We start from the raw sequence: 24,105 nt of genomic DNA, 5'->3' as shown, positions 1-24,105 counted from the left end.
ACAGAGCAAGGCTCTGTCTCAAAAAGAAAAGAAAAGAAAAGAAAATACATGTGATGTGGCTCCTCACAAGCAAAGCAGAGAGGCTAAGAGTACTGCCTCTAGAATGAATCTTAACTCCAGCTCTGCTAACTTCTCTGTGACTCTGGGAAAATCACTTCTCTCTGAGGTCTGGTTCCTCATCTCTGCCTTTGGACAGCAGGACTTCCCACACAGCAGTATCATAAGAACTCAAGAAGATTCACATAGTTTCAGGGTTTAGCAAGGCCCTCAGTAAATGGGGTCTGTTAGGACATTCCAGTAGCTATAGCTGACCCTGAATCATACCGAGGCTGAGGCCTGCTAGGATCTGAGCAGTCCGAGAAGAAAAGCCTGGGCAAGGGTGAGCCTACCTCCCACTTGCATCCCACAGGCCGGGCAGATGATTTTCCAGGGGGCATCCAAGGTACCTTGGTTTTCACCCGGACACTCCGCCGCACATTCACAGTGTCCCCTTTCATTCCTCGCTTGTGAGATTTCTGTGGAAAGGGACAAACCCAGGGTCACTTCCACACCCAGCTGGCCACGGTGCCACGCTAGTGACATCCCTCTCCGACTAGCAGAGTGCCTCTTCTGACTAATGTTACTGCTGTTGCTCCTGGATGACAGGCCTGCCTACCTTCTAACCAGGAAACCGGCCTCCGAAAGAGTGTGTTTGTCTCCCAAACCTTTGGAGTCAGAGTGCGAGGAGGCTGGGCTTAGCAGGATCACCCAGATCCACAGCTACTACCTCGCCCCACTGGCATGCTCCTACCTGGCTGCTGGTCGCTGATGGTTTCGGGAGTTTTTTTATGTGGACGTGGACAGGGGTGTTCTCATCCACGTGAACATGTAAGGGGGGAGTTGAAGAGCGGTCCTTCATGGTTGGCTTCTGGCAGGTGGGGGAGGACAACACAAAAATGGTTGATCTGTGGATGAGTAAACTGGGCATAAAAACAGAGCTCACAGCCTCTGGGGGCCACCAAAAAGCCTAGCCACCAAGCGAGCAGGACAGCTACCAACTACTGGCATGCAGGCAGGGAGTAAGGCGGGAGTATCATTCAGCAGGCTCCTGCAGAGATCCCAGCAGAAGACCACAAGGGAGATTCTGGTCCACTCAAGAGAGGGTCTGCAAGACCCACCCGTTCCAGAACAGATCCCAGACGCCGGCCCCAGGGTTCTTAGGGCTGGATCTCCTCTAAACCTGCTGGAATGCACAGCTCCTCCTTGGATTTAGTGAAGCACAGCGGAAAGCAGGCGGATCCTTCTACACAGTGATCTCAACTGGGCATGCAGATTGGCGTGGGAAACACACAAAATGCTCAGGGTGCAGAATAAATCAGAGAGCAGGCAGATCAAAGAACAGGAAAACAGAAAGCTGAAGGAAATCCTAAGGATGAGAAGGCTGTCTAGATTCTAAAGAAAACATGAGCAAGGCAGAACCACAGCTACAAACCCCTCAACCACCACCAGCTCTTATCCTTCCCCTCATTCTTTAAACTTTTTTTTTCTCTTCTTTTTCTTTTCCTTTATTTTAAAAATCTCAAGATTTTAGGATTTGGCTGGAAGAATAAGTCTAAGACAATTTCCTCACACCCGGCAGCCTCACCACAGGCAAAAATGATGATCATAATTAAAAATCAGCAGAGTATGTATAACAGCACCTAGCAGAGCAACTGGGCGGCGATGGTGCCCAGCAGGGTAAGGCACCTCCTAGAAACGGTGTGCAAAAGCATTTTTAGCAAGGTGACCAAAGAGGGCTGCTACGTGAGTGCATCACCTACCGTCACAGTTACACTGGGTGCGCCACAAGGTGCTCTCAAGACCTTTTTCTGCGTGAGACTCGTTACTCCGTTCTTCCCACACGATGGAAACCTGCACCCAGGCACAAGAACCAGATTGTAAGCAGAAAACTAGGGCAATCTTATATTTCAGATCTCATGAAATTACACACTGACTACGGTAGCTAACATGTTCATGGCTAGGAAAACCAGCCTGGAATTCCTTGACTCCCCTGAGATGAGCACCAGATGTGCGTGGTGTGCCCAGCAGTGGGATGGAAATAGGGTGACAGGCATTTGCAGGCTGGACTTTTAACATATCGTCACATCACATGTATTATGACCCTTGCTGAAAAGCCTAGCTGACATCCTGTCAGATGACAAAAAGCAAGCAGCACATGAACAGAAGCCAATGTGCTGGTTTGGCCAAGGGTAGAAGCACCCAGGACAGTGCCTGGAGCAGAGGCGGCCCTGGAGAAAGATGCAGTGAGTGAGTGACAAAAATAGAGCATTAGTGGCCACAAGCCATGTCTCATGCCTGTAATCCCAGCACTTTTGGAGGCCAAGGCAGGCAGATTGCTTGAGCCCAGGAGTTTGAGACCAGCCTGGGCAACATGGCAAGACCCCATCTCTACAAAACATACAAAAATTAGCTTGGCGTGGTGGCGTGTGTCTGTAGTCCCAGCTACTCGGGAGGCTGAGGTGGGAGAATCAATTAAGCCTGGGAGGTGGAGGCTGCAGTGAGCCGTAACCACGCCACTGCACTCCAGCCTAGGTGGCAGAGGGAGACCCCGTTTCAAAACAACAACAAAAAAGAAAAAAAAATTTTTTCAAAGAGCATTAGGCTCAGGCACGAGAGGTCACTGTGACGCACACTCATCAAATTAAGGCTCAAATATTCCCCTAAGAGAATAAAAAAGTATCTAGTTCCCAAAATATTCCACTTGCTATCCTTTAAGCTCTCAAGCAGCAGGGGATTTTTTTTTAATGCCATGTCTAATTCACCTTGCTTACACATATACTGTACAGCTCCATCACCAGATCTGCAAAGACAGCCAAATAAAAAAAAAAAAAAGAGAGAGAGCAAAAGTCTATTTGCTCCAAAATCTTTCAGCAGTATATCCAAAAAGTCCAGGATGGGAAGGGCCTTGGAATAACCATCTGATCCATCTCCTGGCCTTTTTTTTTTTTTTTTTTTTGAGATAGAGTCTCGCTCTGTCGCCCAGGCTGGAGTGCAGTGGCCCAATCTTGGCTTACTGCAACCTCTGCCTCCTGGCTTCAAGCAATTCTCCAATTCTCCTGCCCCAGGCTCCTGAGTAGCTGGGATTACAGGCGTGTGCCACCATGCCCAGCTAATTTTTTATGTTTCTAGTAAAGACGGGGTTTCACCATGTTGGTCAGGCTGGTCTCAAACTCCTGACCTCAGGTGATCCACCCACCTTGGCCTCTCAAAGTGCTAGGATTGCACAGGCATGAGCCACCGCACCTGGCCCCCCAAAGTGGGGGGAGATCAGAGAGGCTGGAGCGACCAGGGGGTGGCAGGGAGGGTGGGGCAGAGACAGGGAGGTCCAAAATTATCATCTTGCCCTCTTTACAAACACTTGGGGAAAATAATGCAACATCAAAATGCAAGGAAAAAAATACTTGAGCACTTTGGTATGCGTTTTGCTGTATATGTATTACATCGTGATTTTAAAAAGAGGGGAAAAAAAAAAAATATATATATATATATAGACCTCTACTGATCCTTTAGCCAAGGAATACCAAAACTGAGAAGACAGGCTTTTTTCCCTAATCATTTAGAACATTGTTCACGTAAAGCCAATAGCTTTGGGAAATCTCTCAGTGGGTTTCTTGTCAAACCACCTGGATTCCATTATCTTGCTAACTGCCACATCCACCTCCTACGTGTTATTTATTTACACCTCGACTCCCTTCAAAAAGGCTCTGAACCTAGTACTCTATTATATAAAGACAACAAGAGTGACCCTGTTTGCTTCCAGGAAGCTGTGACATCTGGGGAGGGAAGGAGCGAGGGAGGTAGAGCTAGGATTGTGTATACATTTCGTTCCCCCTTCCCTTTAAAAACGATTTTTAAACGTTTTGGTCCAGACTTTCAGCAAACACAATGAGGAAGCTGGAAGCCTCAGGCGAGCCTGCCCTGGGGACCCCTGGCCACCTTTCCCTGCCCTCCGGCGCAGGCGCCTCCCACATCGGCAATACCTGGGGGAGCCGCCTGAGGATGAGGCAGACATGGCTAGGCATCAAAGCCGCAAAGGTGGGCAATTGGGTCAGCAGGCTCTGCTCAGGGGGACCCAGAGGGGCAGGCTTGTCAATGAGCCTCTCAAGGGGCCCGGCATCAAACGTCCTCTCTGAGGGGAGAAGGGTGGAAGCTTTGGGGTTGGCAGTTGGATGAAAACTTGGGAGGCGCTCCTCTACTGTCCAAGTCGCACAGCAACTGTCCTGCCAAAGTAGGGGGAAATAGTAGAGGCTGAGCGACCTGGGGGCAGAGGGGAGGAAGGGGAGGGGACGGGGCAGAACCGCGAGGGAAAGGACCACCGCGCCCGGGTCCCACGCGGAGGACTGCCGGTGGCTACCGGGGGAAACCTGAGGCGCCGGCGGACGTGCGGAGAGGGCGGGTGAGAACCGCTCGGCCCCAAGTGGGCCCCAGAGGGCCAGAACCGCGCAGGGAGCCGCGGGGATGCTGGGGCGGGGCCGGACAACTGTCTCCTAGGAGAAGGGGCGTTACGGAAGAACAGATGCCCGAGAGGACCAATAGTGTTTAAAGGAGGGAGGCGCGGAGGTTGCACGGGCCCCGGGCGCCCCGCCGCGAGGGAAAACCGAACAGAGTTCTGAGCAGGATAGACGCCGGGCTGGGAGGGGGCGGGCGGGACCCCCCCCCGCCGGGCGAGGGCCCTGGCAAGCCGGAGACGGTGCCCGGGGGACAGCGCTGCCTACGGAGGGCGTACAAGTGACTGCCATGTGGAGGCCCGAGGAGAGGACGAGGCGGTCGGGGCGATGCCGCCGACGGGCAGCAGAGCGAGGGAGAGCCTCTGTCGGCGGAGAGAAGGGACGGCCACCCACCAGCAGGCAGGAGGGTACCGGTTTCTGCCCATAGAGAGAAAGGTGAAGCCCTGCCCGCGGGCGGCAGAGGAGGGGCAGAGCCCCGTGGTAGCCAAGAGAGGAAGGAGGCGGCCGACCGCCCGTTAGCGGGAGGAGGAGAGGCCCCGCGCCGGTGGGCGGGGCGGGGGCCCAGGTTCTGACAGGAGGGGGACGAGCGCAACGCGGCGGGGAACCCAGGACCCGACGGCCCCGCGGGGTCGACCGCGCCGGGGGTGCGAAGGCGACGGTCTCGCCCGCGGTGCCCCGGAGGGCGCTGGATCCCGCCTGCCGGCGGCCTCTCACCAGGAGCGACACGGCTGCGCCCAGAAACGCCGCCTTATGAAGTCGTTGAAGTCGGAGGCCAGGGTCGTGCCATGGAGACGCCGCGGCGGATGCAGTCTGGCTCTGGCAGCGGCTCCTCCCCGCTTCCGCCTCCTTTTCCGACACCCGGTCGGCAGCTCGCCCATTGGCCAGTTCAAACCCCCCCGGGAGCCGCTTGGGTTTCGCCATCGAGGCCCAGCCCCTAGCGTCACAGAGATGCCCCGCCCCGCCAGAAGGGCCGCCCACTTCCGGGCCACGCGTCCCGTCACCAAGGAGACGTGCTACGCGTCCAGCGGGCCTGGCCGGGTCTCGCCCCCCATTCAAGGCCTTTCCCGCTCGGCCCTGTTTCCCCTGCCTTGGATCCTCCCGGATTCCCCTCACTCAAAGGAGCGTACGGTTCCGACGCCCTCCCCTCGGTACCCACCAGGAAACTAGGCTCACAGAGGACCCATGGAACTAGTTATTGGGAGCTGCACACTGCCTCCGAAAATCCAGCCCTGCCCCTAGTCCACTATTAATGCGGAGATGGAGTCGGCTTCTGCGCATTCCCCGGCCTCTCCCCTGCCCACATCGCCTCTGTCTTGGCCCCAACAGGAGAAAGGGTCGGCATTCCCCTTGCTGTTCTGTTCACTACCTTCCTGCACTTTTTTTTTTTTTTTTTTTTTTTTTTTTTTTTTTTTTTTTGAGACAGATTCTTGCTCTGTTGCCCAGGCTGGAGTGCAGTGGCGCGATCTCGGCTCACCGCAACCTCCGCCTCCCGGGTTCACGCCATTCTCCTGCCTGAGCCTCCCGAGTAACTGGGACTACTGGCGCCCGCCACAACGCCCGGCTAATTTTTTTTTGTATTTTTAGTAGAGACGGGGTTTCACCGTGTTGGGCAGGATAGTCTCCATCTCCTGACCTCATGATCCACCCGCCTCGGCCTTCCAAAGTGCTTGTATTACAGGCTTGAGCCTCCGCGCCCGGTCTACTACCCTCCTGCACTCTCTATGCCGCTCTGTGTACAGACCTATTCTGATGAGGTCCTTGCTGGTCCGCCATCTTCTCAATTATGCTTCACTGTCAGCCAGTCAGGGGAGGTCTGTCACGTGGCTCATAATGCCGCCCTGGAATCTGGGAGACCTGAACCACCTCCGGGCCAACTGGGCCACAGTCCCTTGACCTTTCTCCAGTGACCCCGCAGCACCTTAGCCACACAGCTCCAGGGTCACACAAGTGTTTCACCTGCAATCCTAAAGTCAGACTCGCAAACAAAACCTGCTTTTCCGCCTCGCTTTCACAGTATACTGCATACTGAATTTGTTCTGTAATGTCAGGGAGCTCCCCAATCCCTTGATCCATTCATTGTCTCTCTGTTGAATAATTGATAGATTTCCTAATCCTCATTAACCATTTAAGACTGCGGTGGCTCACGCCTGTAGTCCCAGCACTTTGGGAGGCTGAGGCAGGCGGATCACCTAAGGTCAGAAGTTCAAGACCAGACTGCCCAACATAGCGAAACCCCGTCTCTACTAAAAATACAAAAATTAACCGGGCATGGTGGTGTGTGCCTGTAATCCCAGCTACTAGGGAGGAGGAGGCAGGGAGAATTCCTTGAACCTGGAAGGCGGAGGTTGCAGTGAGCCAAAATCACCACTACACTTCAGCCTGGGTGACAGAGTGAGACTCTTGTCTCAAAAAAAAAAAAAAAAAAAAAAAAGTATATACAGGTTCAAGGAAAAGAGGACAGGAAAAGGAGGTCCCGGTCCTCCTGGGGCAGGCAGGAGATGGTTCCCAGAGGTGATGGTATTGGAACTGAGCCATGAAAGGTGAGTGGAAGTTCGCCAAACAAGCAGCAAAGGGAATTCTAAACAGACTGCAGTAGGTACACAGGTACCACATGCAGGTACAAGAGAATACTGCATATTCTATGAAGCATCATCACTGCAGTCCCTTGAAGTGTTACAGGGCCAGCGATGAGAGAAATCCTGCCAAAGTCAGCAGGACCAGACTATGCAGCGTCTGATAGGCCAGCCTAAGGTGTTGGACTTCATCCCTCAGAAGCCTGGAAAACCATGAGAGGGTTTTCAGTATTTCACTCTAGGCTGGGCGCTGTGGCTCACACCTGTAATCCCAGCACTTTGGGAGGCCGAGGCAGGTTGATCACTTGAGGTCAAGAATTTGAGACCAGCCTGGCCAACGTGGTGAAACCCCGTCTCTACTAAAAGTACAAAAATTAGCTGGGCGTGGCAGCCGGCGACTATAGTCCCAGCTACTCAGGAGGCTGAGGCAGGAGAATCACTTAAACCCAGGAGGTAGAGGTTACAGTGAGCCAAGATTGCACCACTGCACTCCAGCCTGGGCGACAGAGCGCGACGCCATCTCAAAAAAAAAAAAAAAAAATAGTGGCCAAGCGCAAAGTGGCTCAAGCCTGTAATACCAGCACTTTGAGAGGTTGAGGCAGGCAGATCACCTGAGGTCAGGAGTTCCAGACCAGCCTGGCAGACATGTGGAAACCTCATCTCTACTAAAAATACAAAAATTATCCGGGCGTGGTGGTGCATGCCTGTAATCCCAGCTACTCAGGAGGCTGAGGCATGAGAATTGCATGAACCTGGAAGGCAGAGGTTGCCATGAGCCAAGATTGCAACACTGCACTCCACCCTGGAGGATAGAGCGAGACTCCATCTCCAAAAATGTGGAGCATGGATTGGAAAGACAAGAAAGCATGTAGAGAGAGGAGGCCTTTGCAATATTAACTGTAAACAAAATTTGGGGGTCAGGGGTGGCAGACGTGGTGGCTCATGCCTGTAATCCCAGCACTTTGGGAGACTGAGGTGGGAGGATTACCTGAGCTCAGGAGTTTGAGAGCAGCCTGAGCAACATGGGGAGGCCCAATCTCTTAAAAAAAAAAAAGGCGGGGGGCTGGGCACGGTGTCTCACGTCTGTAATCCCAGCACTTTGGGAGGCCGAGGCAGGCAGATGACTTGAGGTCAGGAGTTCCAGACCAGCCTGGCCAATGGGCGAAACCCCATCTCTACTAAAAATACAAAAAAATTAGCCAGGCATGGTGGCGGGCACCTGTAATCCCAGCTACTCGGGAGGCTGAGACAGGAGAACTGCGCTAACCCGGAAGGCAGAGGTTGCAGTGAGCAGGGATCCCGCCACTGCACTCCAGTCTGGACGACACAGTGAGACTCCATCTCAAAAAAAAAAAAAAAAAAAAAAATCACCGGGCATGGTGGCTCATGCCTGTAATCTCAGCACTTTTGGAGGCTGAGGTGGGAGGATTGCTTGAAACCTGGAGTTTCAAACCAGCCTGGGCGACATAGGGGACACCATCTCTACAAAACATTTTTAAAAGTTAGCCGGGCATGGTGGCACATGCCTGTAGTTCCAGCTACTTAGGAGGCTGAGGTGGGAGGGTCACTTGAGCCTGGGAGTTCAAGACTGCAGTGAGCCGTGATTGTGCCACTGTACTCAAGCCTGGGTGAAATAGTGAGACTCTATCTCAAAAAATAAACATAAATAAATAAACATAAATAAATATACACATTTTTATACATACATATTATATGTAATATACCCAGGCTAGAGTGCAGTGGCATGATTACAGCTCACTGCAACCTCAAGCTCCTGAGCTCCAACGATCCTCCCTCCTCAGCCTCTTGAGTAGCTAAGACTGCTGGTGCGGGTCACCAAGCCCGACTAATTTTTTTTTTTTTTTTTTGAGACCGTCTCACTATGTTTCCCAGGCTGGTCTCTAACTCCTGGTCTCAAGTGATTCTCCCACCTCCCGAGGAGGTGCATCAGTCTCCCAAGTAGCTGGGATTACAAGGACAAGCCACTGCACCTGGTTGTAATATAAACTTGTATGAGATTGCTCTGTCACTGCCTGCTGGCCACCCCAGTGTCCCCACTCGACCATGGATTCCTTGTGGACTAGGGTGACATCACAGTCATTTCTGTATCTCCAGTAGCCAAACCAACCTGTAAACGGTAGACAATCAACAAAAAAAATGTTGAATGAATGTATGGATTAATAATACTATTAATAATGCCACCTAGTACATTAAGTGGGAGGGAGGTAGTATTCACGGGAAGGGAGGTAGCATTCCAGAGAATGCCCTGGGTACCCCTTGTAGACCTCACCCCCTCCCTGCAGGAGAGGACGTTAGCCAAGCAGCATCCCAGCTCCCAATCCTCCTGCGAGCCATCAGTCAGGAACAGCTTCACCCTCTTAGAGGTGAGCACGGAGCAGTCGGGGATGGTGGACAGGGGTCGGGGGAGCCCAGGCTGGGCCCCGCTTCCTTGGGTCACCTGGAGTAAATATCGCTATCAGTGGTTCTCAAACCAGAGTCACAGGCTTGTTAAAACACAGATTACAGGAACCAATTCTCTAAAAGTTCCTGATTCGATAGGTTTGAGATGGGGCCGGATAATTTGCATTTCTTTGTTGTTGTTGTTGTTTTTGAGACAGAGTTTCACGCTTGTTGCCCAGGCTGGAGGGCAGTGGCATTGATCTCGGCTCACTGCAACCTCCGCACCTCTGGGTTCAATCGATTCTCCTGCCTCAGCCTCCTGAATAGCTGGGATTACAGGCGCCTGCCACAACGCCTGGCTAATTTTTTGTATTTTTAGAAGAGACAAGGTTTCATCGTATTGGCCAGGCTGGTTTCGAACTCCTGACCTCAGATGATCCACCCGCCTCGGCCTCCCAAAGCCCAGGGATTATAAGAGTGAGCCACTGCGCTTGGCCAAAAATTTGCATTTCTAATAAATGTCCAGGTGATGCTGGTGCTACTGGCCAAGGATCACATTTGGAGAACCACAGAAGTATTCTCCAGACCCACAGGCCACCCCGAAGCTCAGAGGCTATAAGTCTGTCTGATCTCTGCATCCTCCACCTCCCCAGTCCCCATGGAGAGTTGAGAGGAACTCCTGCTCTGGCCAAAATGGAGCTGATGGTTTACACAGAAACATCCAGGAGTATGTGCATTTCAGAAAATAAGGGCAACCTGAGAAATTCCCTTGCCCCAAACACACAAACCACCCAAACCAGAAACAGTGTTCATCCTCCACTCGTCTCTAGAGTGTCCACTTCAGGAGCGCAGGGGCTGGGCCTGGGCCAGGATCTCCAGCCCCTGCAACTGTGGGAACCCTCCAGGCCAAGTTCAGATGCTCCCTCCTCCATGAGGCCTGCGGTGGCTCCCACTTCTCAGGATGCACTGATGGCTCCCTCCTGGGTATGGGTCCCAATATCCCTGCTGTAAGCACTCGTGTGTGTACGGAAATCTTGTGCCACCTCCTACTGGGTGCTCTCTTAAGGCAAGGGCCACTTCTTCATGTCCCACAGAATCCAGCACAAAATAGATGCTCTGAGAGTTTCACTTTAGAAGTCCAATCAAGGATCAAATAAACTTTAAAGACTTCTTTTGGGGAGCCAGGCACAGTGTGGCTCATGCCTGTAATCCTAGCACTTTGGGAGACTGAGCTGGGCTTGAGCCCAGGAGTTCAAGACCAGCCTGGGCAACATTGTGTCTCTACAAAAAATACAAAACTTAAAGCTGGGTCCGGTGGCTCACGCCTGTAATCTCAGCACTTTGGGAGGCTGAGGCGGGCAGATCACGAAGTCAGGAGATCGAGACCATCCTGGCTAACACGGTGAAACACCGTCTCTACTAAAAATACAAAAAAATTAGCTGGTTGTGGTGGTGGGCACCTGTAGTCCCAGCTACTCGGGAGGCTGAGGCAAGAGAATGGTATGAACCTGGGAGGCAGAGCTTGCAGCAAGCCGAGATTGCGCCACTGCACTTCAGCCTGGGCAACAGAGCAAGACTCTGTCTCAAAAAAAAAAAAATACAAAACTTAGCTAGACGTGGTGACACTAACCTGTAGTCCCAGCTATTTGGGAGGCTGAGTTAGAAGGATCACCTGAGCCTGGGGAGGTTGAGGCTGCAGTGAGTAGTGATCGTGCCACTGTGCTCCAGCCTGGGTAACAGAGTGAGACCTCATCTCAAAAAAAAAAAAAAAAAAAAAAACTTCTAAAACTTTTAGACTTTTGGGTCTAAAAGTAATGTTAAAAATTTGGGAGCAACCTAAATATGCATCAACAGAGGAATCAATTAACATAGTACATCTATGTTATCTGTATACCAGTTTAAACGCATTAGGTACATCCATAAGTAATAATAGGAGAAGATCCCCAAGACATACCATATGATCCTATGTATGCTAAAACATAAACTGTAGGAGCCAGGCATGGTGACTCACGCCTGTAATCCTAATACTTTGGGAGGCCTAGGTGGGAGGATCACTTGAGGCCAGAAGTTTCAGACCAGCCTGGCCAACATGGTGAAACTCTGTCTCTCCTAGAAATACAAAAATTAGCTGGGTGTGGTGGCACACACCTGTGATCTCAGCTACTGGGGAGGCTGAAGCATGAGAATTGCTTGAATGCAGGAGGTAGAGGTTGCAGTGATCCAAGATCACCACTGCACTCTAGCCTAGGCAAAAGAGTGACACTCTGTTTCAAACAAAAAAAAAGACAGGAAATCTTGTCAAAAGGGTTAGGCCAGTTTATATCCAACCAACAGTTTCTTTTTTTTTTTTTTTTTTTAATATATGTTAACTGCTGTTTTATTGTTATTATTATTTATTAATTAGAGATGGGGTCTTGCTATGTTGCCCAGGCTGGTCACGAACTCCTGAGCTCATGTGATCCTCCTGCTTCAGTCTCCCAAAGTGCTAGGATTACAGACATGAGCCACTGCGCTGGCCTATTTACTGCTGTTGACCTTTTAATGTGTACCTTACAGACTTTTCAAGGCAAATGAAAATATTTTTCACTTAAATCAACTCATATTACACTTACTATTCAACAACCTTTTTCTCTGATTTAACATGGCACAGGTACAGCTGTCTTTCTGTGTTGGAGCCCCAACCAACAGTTTCTGAGAATGCATAAACTCACCCAGTGTTTACTGTGTTATAAACAACAGGAGGGATTTTGCCAGTCTTACAAGCAACGAATATGCCCTCTGCTAGACAAACTATCCCTGCATGTAGAAAACTGAAAGTCTCTCAATTCTAAGAGATTTTTGTTTTGTTTTGTTTTGTTTGAGACAGGGTCTGGCTTTTTCACCCAAGGTAGATAGGCGAATTGCTAGAACCTGGGAGGCGGAGGTTACAATGAGCTGAAATGGCATCACTGTACTCCAGCCTGGGTGACAGAGCAAGACTCTCTCTCAGAAAGAAAAAAAAAAAAAAAGGAAATGTATTGTCTGGCAGTTCTGGAGGCTGGAGTTCAAGATCAAGGTGTCTGCAGGGCTGTGCTCCTTCTGAAGGTTCCAGGGAAGGATGTATTCCCAACCTTGTTCTAACTTCTGGTGGTTCCTTGGCAGCATAACTCCAACCTCCATCTGGTGTTCTGTGTGTGTGCTTGTGTCCAAATTTCCCCTTTTTGTAAGGACATCAGATATACTGGATTAGGGACCCACTCTACTTCAGCAGGGCCCCATCTTAACGGATTACATTTACGATGACCCTATATCCAAATGAGCAGCTGGGTGCAGTGGCTCATGCCTGTAATCCCAGCACTTTGGGAGGTGGAGGCGGGCAGATCATGAGGTCAGGAGTTCAAGACCAGCCTGGCCAATATGGCGAAACCCCGTCTCTACTAAAAATACAAAAATTAGCCAGGCATGGTGGCATGAACCTGTAGTCCCAGCTACTCGAGGAGGCTGAGGCAGGAGAATTGCTTGAACCAGGAGGTGGAGGTTGCAGTGAGCTGAGATCGTGCCACTGCACTCCAGCCTGGGCAATAGAGCTAGACTTTGTCTCAAAAAAACAAAACAAAACAAAATAAGGTCACATTCTGAGGTACTGGGGGTAAGAACTTCAACACATGAATTCAGGGAGGATGCAATTCAACCCATAACAGAATGTATAAGTTTAGTTTAAGGATTATAATAAAATAAACACTAACATAGCCAGGACACAGCTTAAGAAAGAAAAGAGGCTGGGCACAGTGGCTCAGGCCTGTAATCCCAGCACTTTGGGAGGTCAAGGAGGGCAGATCACTTGAGTTCAGGAGTTCAAGACCAGCCTGGCCAACATGGTGAAACCTCCATCTCTACTAAAAAAAATACAAAAATTAGCTGAGCATGGTGGCACATGCCTGTAATCCCAGCTACTCAGGAGGCTGAGGCAGGAGAATCTCTTGAATCCAGGAGGCAGAAGTTGCAGTAAGCCTAGATGGCACCACTGCACTCCAGCCTGGGTGACAGAGAGAGATTCTGTCTCAAAAAAGAAAAAAAAAGGAAAGGAAAGAGATTAAAAAATCATTTCAGGCTGGATGTGGTGGCACACACCTATAATCTTAGCACTTTGAGAGCCAAGGAGGGCAGATCACTTGAGCCCAGGAGTTCAAGACCAGTCTAGGCAGCATAATGAGACTTCGTCTCTACAAAAAAATAAAATAAAAAACCCAGCCGTCACAGTGTGTGCCTGTGGTCCCAGCTACTTGGGAGGCTGAGGTGGGAAGATCACCTGAGACTGGGGAGGTGGAAGCTACAGTGAGCTGTGATCAAGCCACTGCACTCCTGCCTGGGCGATAGAATGTTACTGTCTCAAAAAGAAAAAAAAAAAAGTCCAATTTTTTTTTCTTTTTGAGACAGAGTTTCGCTCTTGTTGCCTAGGCTGGAGTGCAATGGCGCGTGCGATCTCAGCTCACCGCAACCACCACCTCCCAGGTTCAAGCGATTCTCCTGCCTCAGCCTCCCAAGTGGCTGGTATTACAGGCATGCGCCACCACGCTCAGCTAATTTTGTATTTTTAGTAGAGACAGGGTTTCTCCATGTTGGTCAGACTGGTCTCGAACTCCCGACCTCAGGTGATCCGCCCACCTTGGCCTCCCAAGGTGCTGGGATTATAGGCATGAGCCACCACGCCTGGCCTAAAAAGGTCCAAATTTTATATCACCTGCAGCTGTGAATAAAGGTTCTCACTATTAGTAGCCATCAAGAATTTCTTAAGAGACTACCATTACAAAGCCTATTTCTCCTGATAAAAAGTTATCAGAAATTGTGTGTAGCTGTTTCAAACATGAAACCTGCCATAAAAAGTTATTTTCATAGAAGCAAGCTCACATTTCACATGTATTTATTTAGCTACAGTGTCTCGTTCTGTCACCTAGGCTGGAGTGCAGTGCTGTGATCATAGCCCATTGCAGCCTTGAACTCCTGGGTTAAAATGATCCTCCCACCTCAGCCTCCCAAGTAGCTGGGACTGCAGGTGCACACCACCACACTCGGCTATTTTTAACTTATTTATTTAGTTAGTTTGAGATGGAGTCTCGCTCTGTCACCCAGGCTGGAGTGCATTGGCGCAATCTCAACTCACTGCAACCTCCACCTCCCAGGTTCAAGTGATTCTCCTGTCTCAGCCTCCCAAGTAGCTGGGATTACATGTGCGTGCCACCATGTCTGGCTAATTTTTGTATTTTTAGTGGAGATGGGGTTTCACCATGTTGGCCAGGCTGGTCTTGAACTTCTGACCTCAAGTGATCTGCCCGCCTTGGCCTCCCAAAGTGCTGGCATTTCAAGAGTGAGCCAGGGCGCCTGGCCCTTGTGCATCCTTCTTGATAAAGAAAGGGAGGTTCCTGGCTGTTATCAGGAGAATGTCAGCTGCTTGCTCTGTGGAGAGCAGAGGAAGAATACAGGCAACCATTCTCTTCTCTTTTTGGATATACATGATCTGTACAAAGTGGTCATCACTAGGCCTCTCTTGTCCAGGCAATTTCCCCCTTAAGTTGTCATACATGCTACAAATTTTGTGCTTTCCGTCATCCATTCTAGCTTTAGGCAATAACTTATTTCATAGTCCTCCACATCAAGGAGTAATCTGTAGGTTTTCTCAATTATGATAAGGGTTTTGTTTGTTTGTTTGTTTGAGATGGAGTCTCCCTCTGTCGCCAGGCCTGGAGTGCAGTGGCATGATCTCAGCTCACTGCAACCTCCACCTCCCAGGTTCAAGCGGTTCTCCTGCCTCAGCCTCCTAACTAGCTGAGACTACAGGCACCCGCCACCACGTCCGGCTAATTTTTGTATTTTTAGTAGAGACGGGGTTTCACCGTGTTAGCCAGGATGGTCTCAATCTCTTGACCTCATGATCTGCCTGCCTTGGCCTCCCAAAGTGCTGAGATTACAGATTTGAGCCACTGCGCTCGGCCATGACAAGGGTTTTTCTCCTCTTGTCTCAAACTTTTGTTTCATCATCCTCACTCCAAGATGTCACAACAGCATCAATCATTTTTTGCTGATTATTTACACTAGAAACAGTCAGCTTTCCCAAAGAGCCCGCAAATTGCACTGGATTATAGGCGCGCTCCAGTTTAGCCACCTGAGGGGTGATGAGCTTGGTGCGCTCCTTTTTCGGGCCATCACCTTATATTTCTTCAGCAGCTGACTGTTTTTCCAAGTAATTCTGGTAATAAAAATAATCCAGGGATCAGTGCTTTGCAGTTGCATCATCTGGAATTTAGGGACCCAATCCTTTTCCCACTGCAACATGAGATTGGCATATGGATCCTTTCAGAGATGATCTTGATGACTGTTCCATTGACTTCCTCTATCTCCTGCACCATTGAGACTCTGATGCTGATTTCTATTCTGTTGCTGTCTCTGATGCAAGAGTCGACAGTGCTGTGGATGAAAGTGAGTTGCGTCTGGTATAAACATTGGGGCCTGAGATCTTAGGTTTTGCAGGTGAAGTCCTGGGCCAGGAGGGTGCTGCTGTGGAGGTGGTGCAGCAGGGGTGGAGCACTAAAGAAGGCACAGAAGCCTGGTGCTGGGGGAAGCATCTGCCCAACCGGCCCTTGTAGTAACTTGGGATTCATAGCAGCAAGTAGACTACCAGCAAATCCAGGGACCCAGGCGAACTGGCTGGGAGACATACATCCAGACTGTAGCGGGACACAGCAGAGCTGGCTTGATGTCCTGTCACTATAGGGAGCAGGATATTGTGGTGGCATTGGGGGCTGAACATGGACAGGCGTCAGACACAGAAAGTGTTGGGTGAGATTGGATACAGCCATCTGCTTAGGTGAGGTGCCTATGGGGACAGCTCTAACAGGAGGACTGCCAATGATAGGTGAAGTTGGCCGCCTTGGTAATGCATGTTCAGAAAGGTCCCGATCATCTTCTGGAACCTGGGGGCCTCTGAGGCAAGGCACACTTTAATACAGACACTGTAGGCATTTCCTGAACAGTAGTCTTTGGATTCCCCTCAGAACTTCAGATCCATCCCAGATACTGGAATTCAGACTTCCCGGTTGGGGTTATAAAACTGGCCTGGTTTGCACTGCCCTCATGATAGCTGGATCTTCTAGTTCATTTTCAATCACCATCTTACTGAGCCTTTCTGCCAGATTCTCCTCATGGTCATCCAACAAGTCCATTTCATCCCTCTCTCCATTGCCTGTTTGTTCAATAACTGCCACTGGTTGCTTTACTTCCAGTTCAGCCAGGCACTCATGTGCTTCCCGCCAGTCATCATCAATTGCACCTGACCCGAATGTCTTATCACTGAATTGTTCAATTTCCTCATCTTCTTTTCCCAGGCCCTGAAATGCATCTTCAACTTCATCCACAGGACAATCCTCCAAAGATTCTTGGGGAGGGAGGGAGGGAGTGGGGAGAAGAGTAGGGAAGGGAGGGAAGAAGCACTGACTCCCCGGGCTTGGGTCCTCCACCGACTTGGGACCCCTGGCTGCTGCCATACGCCCAGTTGCAATTACATTTAAAGACTTAGGCCAGCCGGGCAGGGTGGCTCATGCCTGTAATCCCAGCACTTTGGGAGGCCGAGGTGGGAGGATCATCTGAGGTCAGGAGTTCAAGACCAGCCTGGCCAACATGGTGAAACCCTTTCTCTACTAAAAATAAAAAAATTAGCCGGGCGTGGTGGCACACACCTGTAATCCCAGCTACTCCAGAGGCTGAGGCAGGAGAATTGCTTGAACCCAGGAGGTGGAGCTTGCAGTGAGCCGAAATCGCGCCACTGCACTCCAGCCTGAGTGACAAAGCAAGACTCTGTCTCAAAAAAAAAAAAAAAAAAGACTTGGGCCGGGCGTGATGGCTCACACCTGTAATCCCAGCACTGTGGGAGGCCAAGGTGGGTATATCACTTGAGGTCAGAAGTTTGAGACCAGCCTGGTCAACATGGTGAAACCCCATCTCTACAAAAAATACCAAAAAAAAAAAAAAAAAAAAAAAAAAAGCCAGCCATGGTGGCACATGCCTGTATTCCCAGCTACTTGGGAGGCTGAGGTGGGAGGATCACTTGAACCGGGAGGCAGAGGTTGCAGTGAGCCGAAATTGCACCACTGCACTCCAGCCTGGGCGACTGAGCAAGGCTCCATCTCAAAAAAAAGCTGTCACAGATGCCAGTAGGAGAACAGGTTAGTTGCAAACAGATGGGAAGTATTGAAATTTGTGAAGATGGAGCTGGGGAGCCACCCCCAGGAGCGATGCACACCAGCCTCCTCCTTCCTGGGCCAGCTGCACCTTGGGCACACGGGACCAGAACTCCTCTAGCAGGAGGTCCATGGGTCCCCTGTCCAAGACAAGCAGTGGCGTCCTATGCAGCTGACTGCTTAAGTGGATGTCTGGGGTGTGGACCCCCACCTTGGCCGAGCTAGCTCATCAGAACATGTTCACTTTCCACAGGAACCATGGACATAAAATAGAATCCTGCCCCACACAGGCCACCATAGGCCCTGCCCAGCTGCCCCAAAGAGGGTGCTGATCAACATTTATTGGCTCACTTGCCAATAAATCACACTGAGTGCCCATGGCACACCGCTGCAGAGGAGGCTGAGCCCAGCCTGGCTCTGAGGATGAGTCTGCTTGGCCTGTTGATAATCCCACCTCCTTGTCAGTGATTGTCAACACTTCGTTCAGAAATGGACACGTGACTCTATTTGGGCCAATGTGGAGAGACTGGCTGGGGTTCTTTCTTCAAAAGCATCTAGAAGTGACTTTTTTTTTTTTTTTTTTTGAGACAGAGTCTTGCTCTGTCGCCCAGGCTGGAGTGCAGTGGCACCATCTCAGCTCACTGCAAGCTTCGCCTCCTGAGTTCACGCCATTCTCCCACCTCAGCCTCCCGAGTAGCTGGAACTACAGATGCCCACCACCACACCTAGCTAATTTTGCTTTTGTATTTTTAGTAGAGACGGGGTTTCACTGGGTTGGCCAGGATGATCTCGATCTCCTGACCTTGTGATCCGCCCGCCTCGGCCTCCCAAAGTGCTGGGATTACAGGCGTGAGCCACCATGCCCAGCCTAGAAGTGACTCTTTTTTTTGAGATGGAGTCTCGCTCTGTCACCCAAACTGGAGTGCAGTGGTGCAATCTTGGCTCACTGCAACCTCTGCCTCTTGGGTTCAAGTGATTCTCCTGCCTCAGCCTCCTGAGTAGCTGAGATTACAGGTGCCTGCCACCACGCCCAGCTAATTTTGGTATTTTTAGTAGAAATAGGGTTTCCCTATGTTGGCCAGGCTGGTCTCAAACTCCTGCCCTCCAGTGATCCATCCACCTCGGCCTCCCAAAGTGCTGGGATTACAGCTTTGCACTCTGTGTTATGTCAGCCTGTACATGGTCTTCTTAAGTCAGTTTGAGTTGGTCCCTTACAGCAAAAAGCATCCTTACTCACAGCTCTGGGATAATCAGAAGACCAGATAATCAAATACCATTCACTGTGCCTTACCTGCATTCTACAAGGTAGTATTGCCCTCACTTGCAGATGGAGAAATGAAGGTTCAGAGAGGCTAAGTAACATGCCCAAGGTCACACATTCCCCACGCCATGTCAGGACTACAGCCCACGTGGGACCCACTCCAGATTCCACGTTCTTTATCCTGGCAACATGCCAGCAAAGGAGGAAGCAAAAGAACTTTAAAAGCAGACAAAGGAGCTCAGGAAACTCTGCAGTTTGGGGCACTCAGCAAAGGGGCCGATAGCCCCTGACTTCAGCAGACAGGGAACCAGAAGCACTTACAATTCGATTTTACAAGAGAAGGTACTACTCGCTACTTAAAAAGTCAGGGAACAGATTTCTATAAAAGCCATCACCTTGGTAAGGCGTGGTGGCTCACACCAGTAATCCCAGCACTTTGGGAGGCCGAGGTGGGGGGAATTGCTTGAGCTCGGGAGTTCAAGACCAGCCTGGCCAAAATGGTGAAACCCAGTCTCTAATAAAAATACAAAAATTAGCTGGACGTGGTGTCTCACGCCTGTAATCCCAACTACCTGGGAGACTGAGGCAGGAGAATCACTTGAACCTAGGAGGTGGAGGTTGCAGTAAGCTGAGATCCCGCCACTGCACTCCAGCCTGGGCGACAGAGGGAGACTCGTCTCAAAACAAAACAAAACACCAGCCTTGGCCTGGTGGCTCACACCTGTAATCCCAGAACTTTAGGAGGCTGAAGCAGGAGGATTGTTTGAGCTCAGGATTCAAGACCAGCCTGGGTAATATACCGAGATCCGACCTCTGCAGAAAATTTAAAAATTAGCCAGGGGTGGTAGCACGGTCCTAGAGATCCAGCTACTTGGGAGGCTGAGGCAGGAGGATCAGTGGAGCCCAGGAGGTCAAGGCTGCAATGAGCTGTGGTTGCACCACTGTACTCTGGCGAGTACATCACTGCCTGGGTGACAGAGTAAGACAGAGTGAGACCCTGTCTCAAAAATAAATAAACAAAAATAAAAAAGGCCAAGTGCAGTGGCTCACGCCTGTAATCCCAGCAGTTTAGGAGGCCAAGGCAGGAGGATCACTTGAGCTCAGGAGTTTGAGACCAGCCTGGGCAACATAGTGAGAACTGTGTCTCTACCAAAAAAAAAAAAAAAAAAAAAAAAAAAAGAGAGAGTAAAAAAAGTCAGGCCTCACCCATAGCCTACTAAATCAGAACCTGCAGAGAATTGGGAGCGGGCAGGAATGTGCCTTTTAACAGGTTCCTGTGGTGGAGGAGTATACAGCTTGAGGGGTTCCAAGCTTCTATCTCCAGCCCAGACTGGGGCCCCGAATTCCAGACTTGTGTATCCAGCTACTTACTTGACATACCCTTTTGGATCTCAATTTTTTTTTTTTGAGACAGTCTCTGTCACCCAGGCTGGAGTACAATCGCATGATTGCAGCTTACTGCAACCTCCGCCCCCGGCTTCAAGAGATTCTCCTACCTCAGCCTACTGAGCAGCTGAGACTACAGGTGCCCACCACCACACCCAGCTAATTTTTTTTTGAAACTAAGTTTCACTCTTGTTGCCCAGGCTGGAGTGCAATGGTGCGATCTAGGCCCCCTGCAGCCTCCACCTCCCGGGTTCAAGCAATTCTCCTGCCTCAGCCTCCTGAGTAGCTGGGATTACAGGCACCCACCACCACGCCCGACTTTTTTGTATTTTTAGTAGAGATGAGGTTTCACCATGTTGGCCAGGCTGGTCTCGAACTCCTGACCTCAGGTGATCCACCCGTCTCAGCCTCCCAAAGTGCTAGGATTATACGCATAAGCCACCACGCCCAGCCATGCTTGAATTATTACAGTGGGTTCCTAACTGGTCTCACTGTTTCTTCCATGGACCTGCCTACAGTTTATTCTCAGCACAGTAGCCGGTGTGATCTTATAACACTACATGAGATCATGCCACATCTCTGCCAGGGTGATCATGTAAAAATGTAAGTTAGATGGTTACTTCTTTGCCTCCATCTCTCTGGGGGCTCCATCTCAGAGTAAAAGCCAAAATGGCCTTCATGGCCATCCCTGCTCTGGCCCCAGCCTTGGCTCTATCAACTCTAGACACTGGTCCTCCTCTCTTCTGCACTGTCAGTCCTGCTTCTGCCTCAGGACCTTTGCATATGCTGTTCCTTCTGCTTGGAAGCTCTTCCTTTTGCTATCCCCAAGGCTCAGCCCCTCCCCTCCTTAAAGTCTTTTTTTTTTTTTTTTTTGTCTATTTTTTTTTTTTTTTTGAGACGGAGTCTCACTCTGTCACCCAGGCTGGAGTGCAGTGGTTTGATCTCGGCTCACTGCAACCTCTGCCTCCCAGGTTCAAGCAATTCTCTTCCTCAGCCTCCCACGTAGCTGGGACTACAGGCGCCCACCACCACACCTGGCTAATTTTTGTATTTTTAGTAGAGACGGGGTTTCACCCTCTTGGCCAGGCTGGTCTTGAACTCCTGACCTCGTGATCCACCTGCCTCGCCCTCCCAAAATGGTGGGATTACAGGTGTGAGCCACCCTGCCTGGCGAAGTCTTTTGTTTTTGAGATGGAGTCTCACTCTGTCGCCCAAGCTGGAGTGCAGTGGTGCAAGCTCAGCTCACTGCAACCTCCACCTCCCAGGTTCAAGTGATTCTCCTGCTTCAGTCTCCCGAGTAGCTGGCATTACAGGCGCCCGCTAGCACACCTGACTAATTTTTGTATTTTTAATAGAGATGGGATTTCCCTATGTTGGCCAGGCTGGTCTCAAACTCCTGGCCTCCAGTGATCCATCTGCTTAGGCCTTCCAAAGTGCTAGGATTACAGGCATGAGCAACTATGCCTGGCCCACTCCTGCGTCTTTGTTCAGGTGTTAACTTCTCAGATCTTACTTTGTATCTCTCCGCTTCTCATTTTTCTCTATAGCAATTCACACCCTCTGATCTTTCTTTGTTTTTGTCTGCATCCCTCATTAGGATGTCAGTTTTGGCCGGGTGTGGTGACAGAAGGTGATAGAGTGAGACTCCGCCACAAAAAAAAAAGAAAAAAAAGAATGTCAGTTTAATGAGGTCAGGGGTTTTGTCAGTTTCATTCACTGCTGAATCCCCAGGGCCTGACTGCGGCCCATGGGAGGTGCTTAATAAAGGTTAACAAATGAATGAAGGGGACACCTGGAGCCTGGAGAGAAGTGAGTCGCTCAAGGTCATAGCCATCCAGAATGAATGACTTTCATCTTAGAACGAATAAAGCACCGAGTCCACAGCTCCAGCCCAAGGTCCTTCTCACAGCCGTGCCAGGTCCTGGACCTCAACCCCAGGACAGAGCCAAGGGATACCCCAACCTCAGGGAGTGCCTGTCAGGCTCTGCCAGGACTGGAGTGCTCACACAACCAAGTCAGGGGGCCACATGGAAGAGGAGCAGGAACGGTGGAAGCCAAAGCAGCCATGGCCAAGGCCAGGAGCCATCTCCCCTCCCACCCCTCCAGCTGCCTGAGTGCAGGCATGACAGACAGCGGCTGGGCCCAGAAGCCCGACTCTCTGGGGCCAGGGGAGAGGCCTGCAGTTCCCATCAGAAGAGCAGAAGACGCAGAGCTGCTGCGGGTTGCCCCAGCACCAATGGGAGCTTCCCTATGGCCCATGCTTCCTTCCTGGTGTTGGCCCCAACCCAGCAGAGAGCATCCTGGCCAAGTCCAGGCTCTGCCACCTTGCGCCCTCTGGTGGCCACATTGGTTAGTGCCAGAGGGGAACCCAGGATCTCCCCCAGCCCCTCCCAGGCGGTTCCTCTTCCCCTAAGCCAGGGTTTCAGCTGCACAAGAGATGATCCAAAGGGCCGGGGGACATCAGCAGCCCTTGGACTGGCTGGGCCCACCCTGACCAGCAAGGTGAGGCTGGTAATGACTTCGGGGATGACCACATCAGCCCCAACAGGTGAGCACTCACTGTGAGCCGGGCTCAGGCTAGGCCACTCTATACCCAACCAGCCACAATGACCGAAGAGTAGACTAAGGCCCAGGGAAGGGATGGCACCCACCCAAGATCACCCAGCACAGAGGTGATGCTGGATCGGCCTGACTCCTCACCTGTCCTCCCCTCTCTGTCCCTCCAATTGCTCAACCATAGATCAGGAAGCCTCCTCCCAGGCCAGCTGAGATGCAGAGGCTCAGCCATGAGTTAAAAAATATAAAGTAAAAATACAAAAATTAGCTGGGCGTGGTGGCACATGCCTGTAATCCCAGCTACTAGGGAGGCTGAGGAAGGAGAATCGCTTCAACCCAAGAGGCGGAGGCTGCAGTGAGCCGAGATCACACCACTGCACTCCAGCCTGGGTGACAGAGCGAGACTCTGTCTTAAAAACAAACAAATATATATACATGTATATATATGTATGTATACATATATACATGTATATACACGTATGTGTACATATATACACGTATATATACGTGTATATACGTGTGTGTATATACGTGTATATACGTGTGTGTATATACGTGTATATACGTGTGTGTATATACGTGTATATACGTGTGTGTATATACGTGTATATACGTGTGTGTATATACGTGTATATACGTGTGTGTATATACGTGTATATACGTGTATGTGTATATACGTGTATATACGTGTATGTGTATATACGTGTATATACGTGTATGTGTATATACGTGTATATACGTGTATGTGTATATACGTGTATATACACGTATATATGTATATATACGTGTATATATACGTATATACGTGTATATATATGTATATATATAAAGTGGCAGGGTGCAGTGGCTCACGCCTCTCATCCCAGCACTGTGGGAGGCCGAGGTGGATAGATTGTTTGAGCCCAGGAGTTTGAGACCAGCCTGGGCAACATGCAAAACCCAGTCTCTACAAAAAAAAATGTGGCCAGGCATGGTGGCATGTGCCTGTGGTCCAGCTACATGGGAGGCTGAAGCAGGAAGATTGCCTGAGCCCAGGAGGTTGAGGCTGCAGTGAGCTGGGTTTGCGCCATTGCACTTCAGCCTGGGCAACAGAGGGAGACCCTGTGTCAAAAAATATATATATACATACATACATACATACATATATATATATATATATATATATATATATACACATACACATACATACATATATATATATATATATATATACATATATATACATACATATA

At 50.3% G+C, this 24,105-nt stretch overlaps 1 protein-coding gene and 1 pseudogene across 23 annotated transcripts in view, besides 11 other annotated features; both read right to left on the bottom strand.

The window, feature by feature from the left end:
* Positions 1-6,272, bottom strand: part of ODF2 (outer dense fiber of sperm tails 2) — a 46,108-nt gene extending 39,836 nt beyond the window's left edge. For 4 of the 23 annotated variants that reach the window (NM_001351583.2, NM_001351586.2, NM_001351588.2 and 1 more), the window contains exons 1-4: positions 5,202-5,305; positions 1,800-1,890; positions 791-944; positions 447-515 (exon numbers count right to left, since the gene is read on the bottom strand). In NM_001351583.2, the coding sequence (NP_001338512.1) occupies positions 447-515; positions 791-898 (177 nt within the window). In that variant the 5' untranslated portion in view covers positions 899-944; positions 1,800-1,890; positions 5,202-5,305. 23 annotated transcript variants of the gene reach the window in all.
* Positions 3,434-4,169: an enhancer, noted in NCBI's record as "OCT4-NANOG-H3K4me1 hESC enhancer chr9:131219567-131220302 (GRCh37/hg19 assembly coordinates)". NCBI's record gives its function as "activates a minimal SCP1, AML or CMV promoter by ChIP-STARR-seq in naive H9 embryonic stem cells {active_cell/tissue: H9 hESC(naive)}" and the evidence as "EXISTENCE:reporter gene assay evidence [ECO:0000049][PMID:30033119]".
* Positions 4,170-4,905: an enhancer, noted in NCBI's record as "H3K27ac-H3K4me1 hESC enhancer chr9:131218831-131219566 (GRCh37/hg19 assembly coordinates)". NCBI's record gives its function as "activates a minimal SCP1, AML or CMV promoter by ChIP-STARR-seq in primed H9 embryonic stem cells {active_cell/tissue: H9 hESC(primed)}" and the evidence as "EXISTENCE:reporter gene assay evidence [ECO:0000049][PMID:30033119]".
* Positions 4,299-4,348: a silencer, noted in NCBI's record as "silent region_20343". NCBI's record gives its function as "represses an Ori minimal core promoter by ATAC-STARR-seq in GM12878 lymphoblastoid cells {active_cell/tissue: GM12878}" and the evidence as "EXISTENCE:reporter gene assay evidence [ECO:0000049][PMID:35858748]".
* Positions 4,559-4,708: a silencer, noted in NCBI's record as "silent region_20342". NCBI's record gives its function as "represses an Ori minimal core promoter by ATAC-STARR-seq in GM12878 lymphoblastoid cells {active_cell/tissue: GM12878}" and the evidence as "EXISTENCE:reporter gene assay evidence [ECO:0000049][PMID:35858748]".
* Positions 4,739-4,838: a silencer, noted in NCBI's record as "silent region_20341". NCBI's record gives its function as "represses an Ori minimal core promoter by ATAC-STARR-seq in GM12878 lymphoblastoid cells {active_cell/tissue: GM12878}" and the evidence as "EXISTENCE:reporter gene assay evidence [ECO:0000049][PMID:35858748]".
* Positions 4,906-5,641: an enhancer, noted in NCBI's record as "H3K27ac-H3K4me1 hESC enhancer chr9:131218095-131218830 (GRCh37/hg19 assembly coordinates)". NCBI's record gives its function as "activates a minimal SCP1, AML or CMV promoter by ChIP-STARR-seq in primed H9 embryonic stem cells {active_cell/tissue: H9 hESC(primed)}" and the evidence as "EXISTENCE:reporter gene assay evidence [ECO:0000049][PMID:30033119]".
* Positions 4,969-5,278: a silencer, noted in NCBI's record as "silent region_20340". NCBI's record gives its function as "represses an Ori minimal core promoter by ATAC-STARR-seq in GM12878 lymphoblastoid cells {active_cell/tissue: GM12878}" and the evidence as "EXISTENCE:reporter gene assay evidence [ECO:0000049][PMID:35858748]".
* Positions 5,499-5,548: an enhancer, noted in NCBI's record as "active region_29083". NCBI's record gives its function as "activates an Ori minimal core promoter by ATAC-STARR-seq in GM12878 lymphoblastoid cells {active_cell/tissue: GM12878}" and the evidence as "EXISTENCE:reporter gene assay evidence [ECO:0000049][PMID:35858748]".
* Positions 5,642-6,378: an enhancer, noted in NCBI's record as "H3K4me1 hESC enhancer chr9:131217358-131218094 (GRCh37/hg19 assembly coordinates)". NCBI's record gives its function as "activates a minimal SCP1, AML or CMV promoter by ChIP-STARR-seq in primed H9 embryonic stem cells {active_cell/tissue: H9 hESC(primed)}" and the evidence as "EXISTENCE:reporter gene assay evidence [ECO:0000049][PMID:30033119]".
* Positions 5,679-5,768: an enhancer, noted in NCBI's record as "active region_29082". NCBI's record gives its function as "activates an Ori minimal core promoter by ATAC-STARR-seq in GM12878 lymphoblastoid cells {active_cell/tissue: GM12878}" and the evidence as "EXISTENCE:reporter gene assay evidence [ECO:0000049][PMID:35858748]".
* On the bottom strand, positions 14,825-16,982 carry LOC100129352 (protein PAT1 homolog 1-like; annotated as a pseudogene).
* Positions 22,666-22,839: a silencer, noted in NCBI's record as "fragment chr9:131200897-131201070 (GRCh37/hg19 assembly coordinates)". NCBI's record gives its function as "represses an EF-1alpha promoter that drives an FKBP-Casp9 reporter gene in an ReSE screen in HepG2 liver carcinoma cells {active_cell/tissue: HepG2}" and the evidence as "EXISTENCE:reporter gene assay evidence [ECO:0000049][PMID:32094911]".

The sequence above is a fragment of the Homo sapiens genome, chromosome 9 (genome assembly GCF_000001405.40).
Source record: "Homo sapiens chromosome 9, GRCh38.p14 Primary Assembly".
Classification (NCBI taxonomy): Eukaryota; Metazoa; Chordata; class Mammalia; order Primates; family Hominidae; genus Homo; species Homo sapiens.
This window is presented reverse-complemented; position numbering and strand designations above follow the sequence as displayed.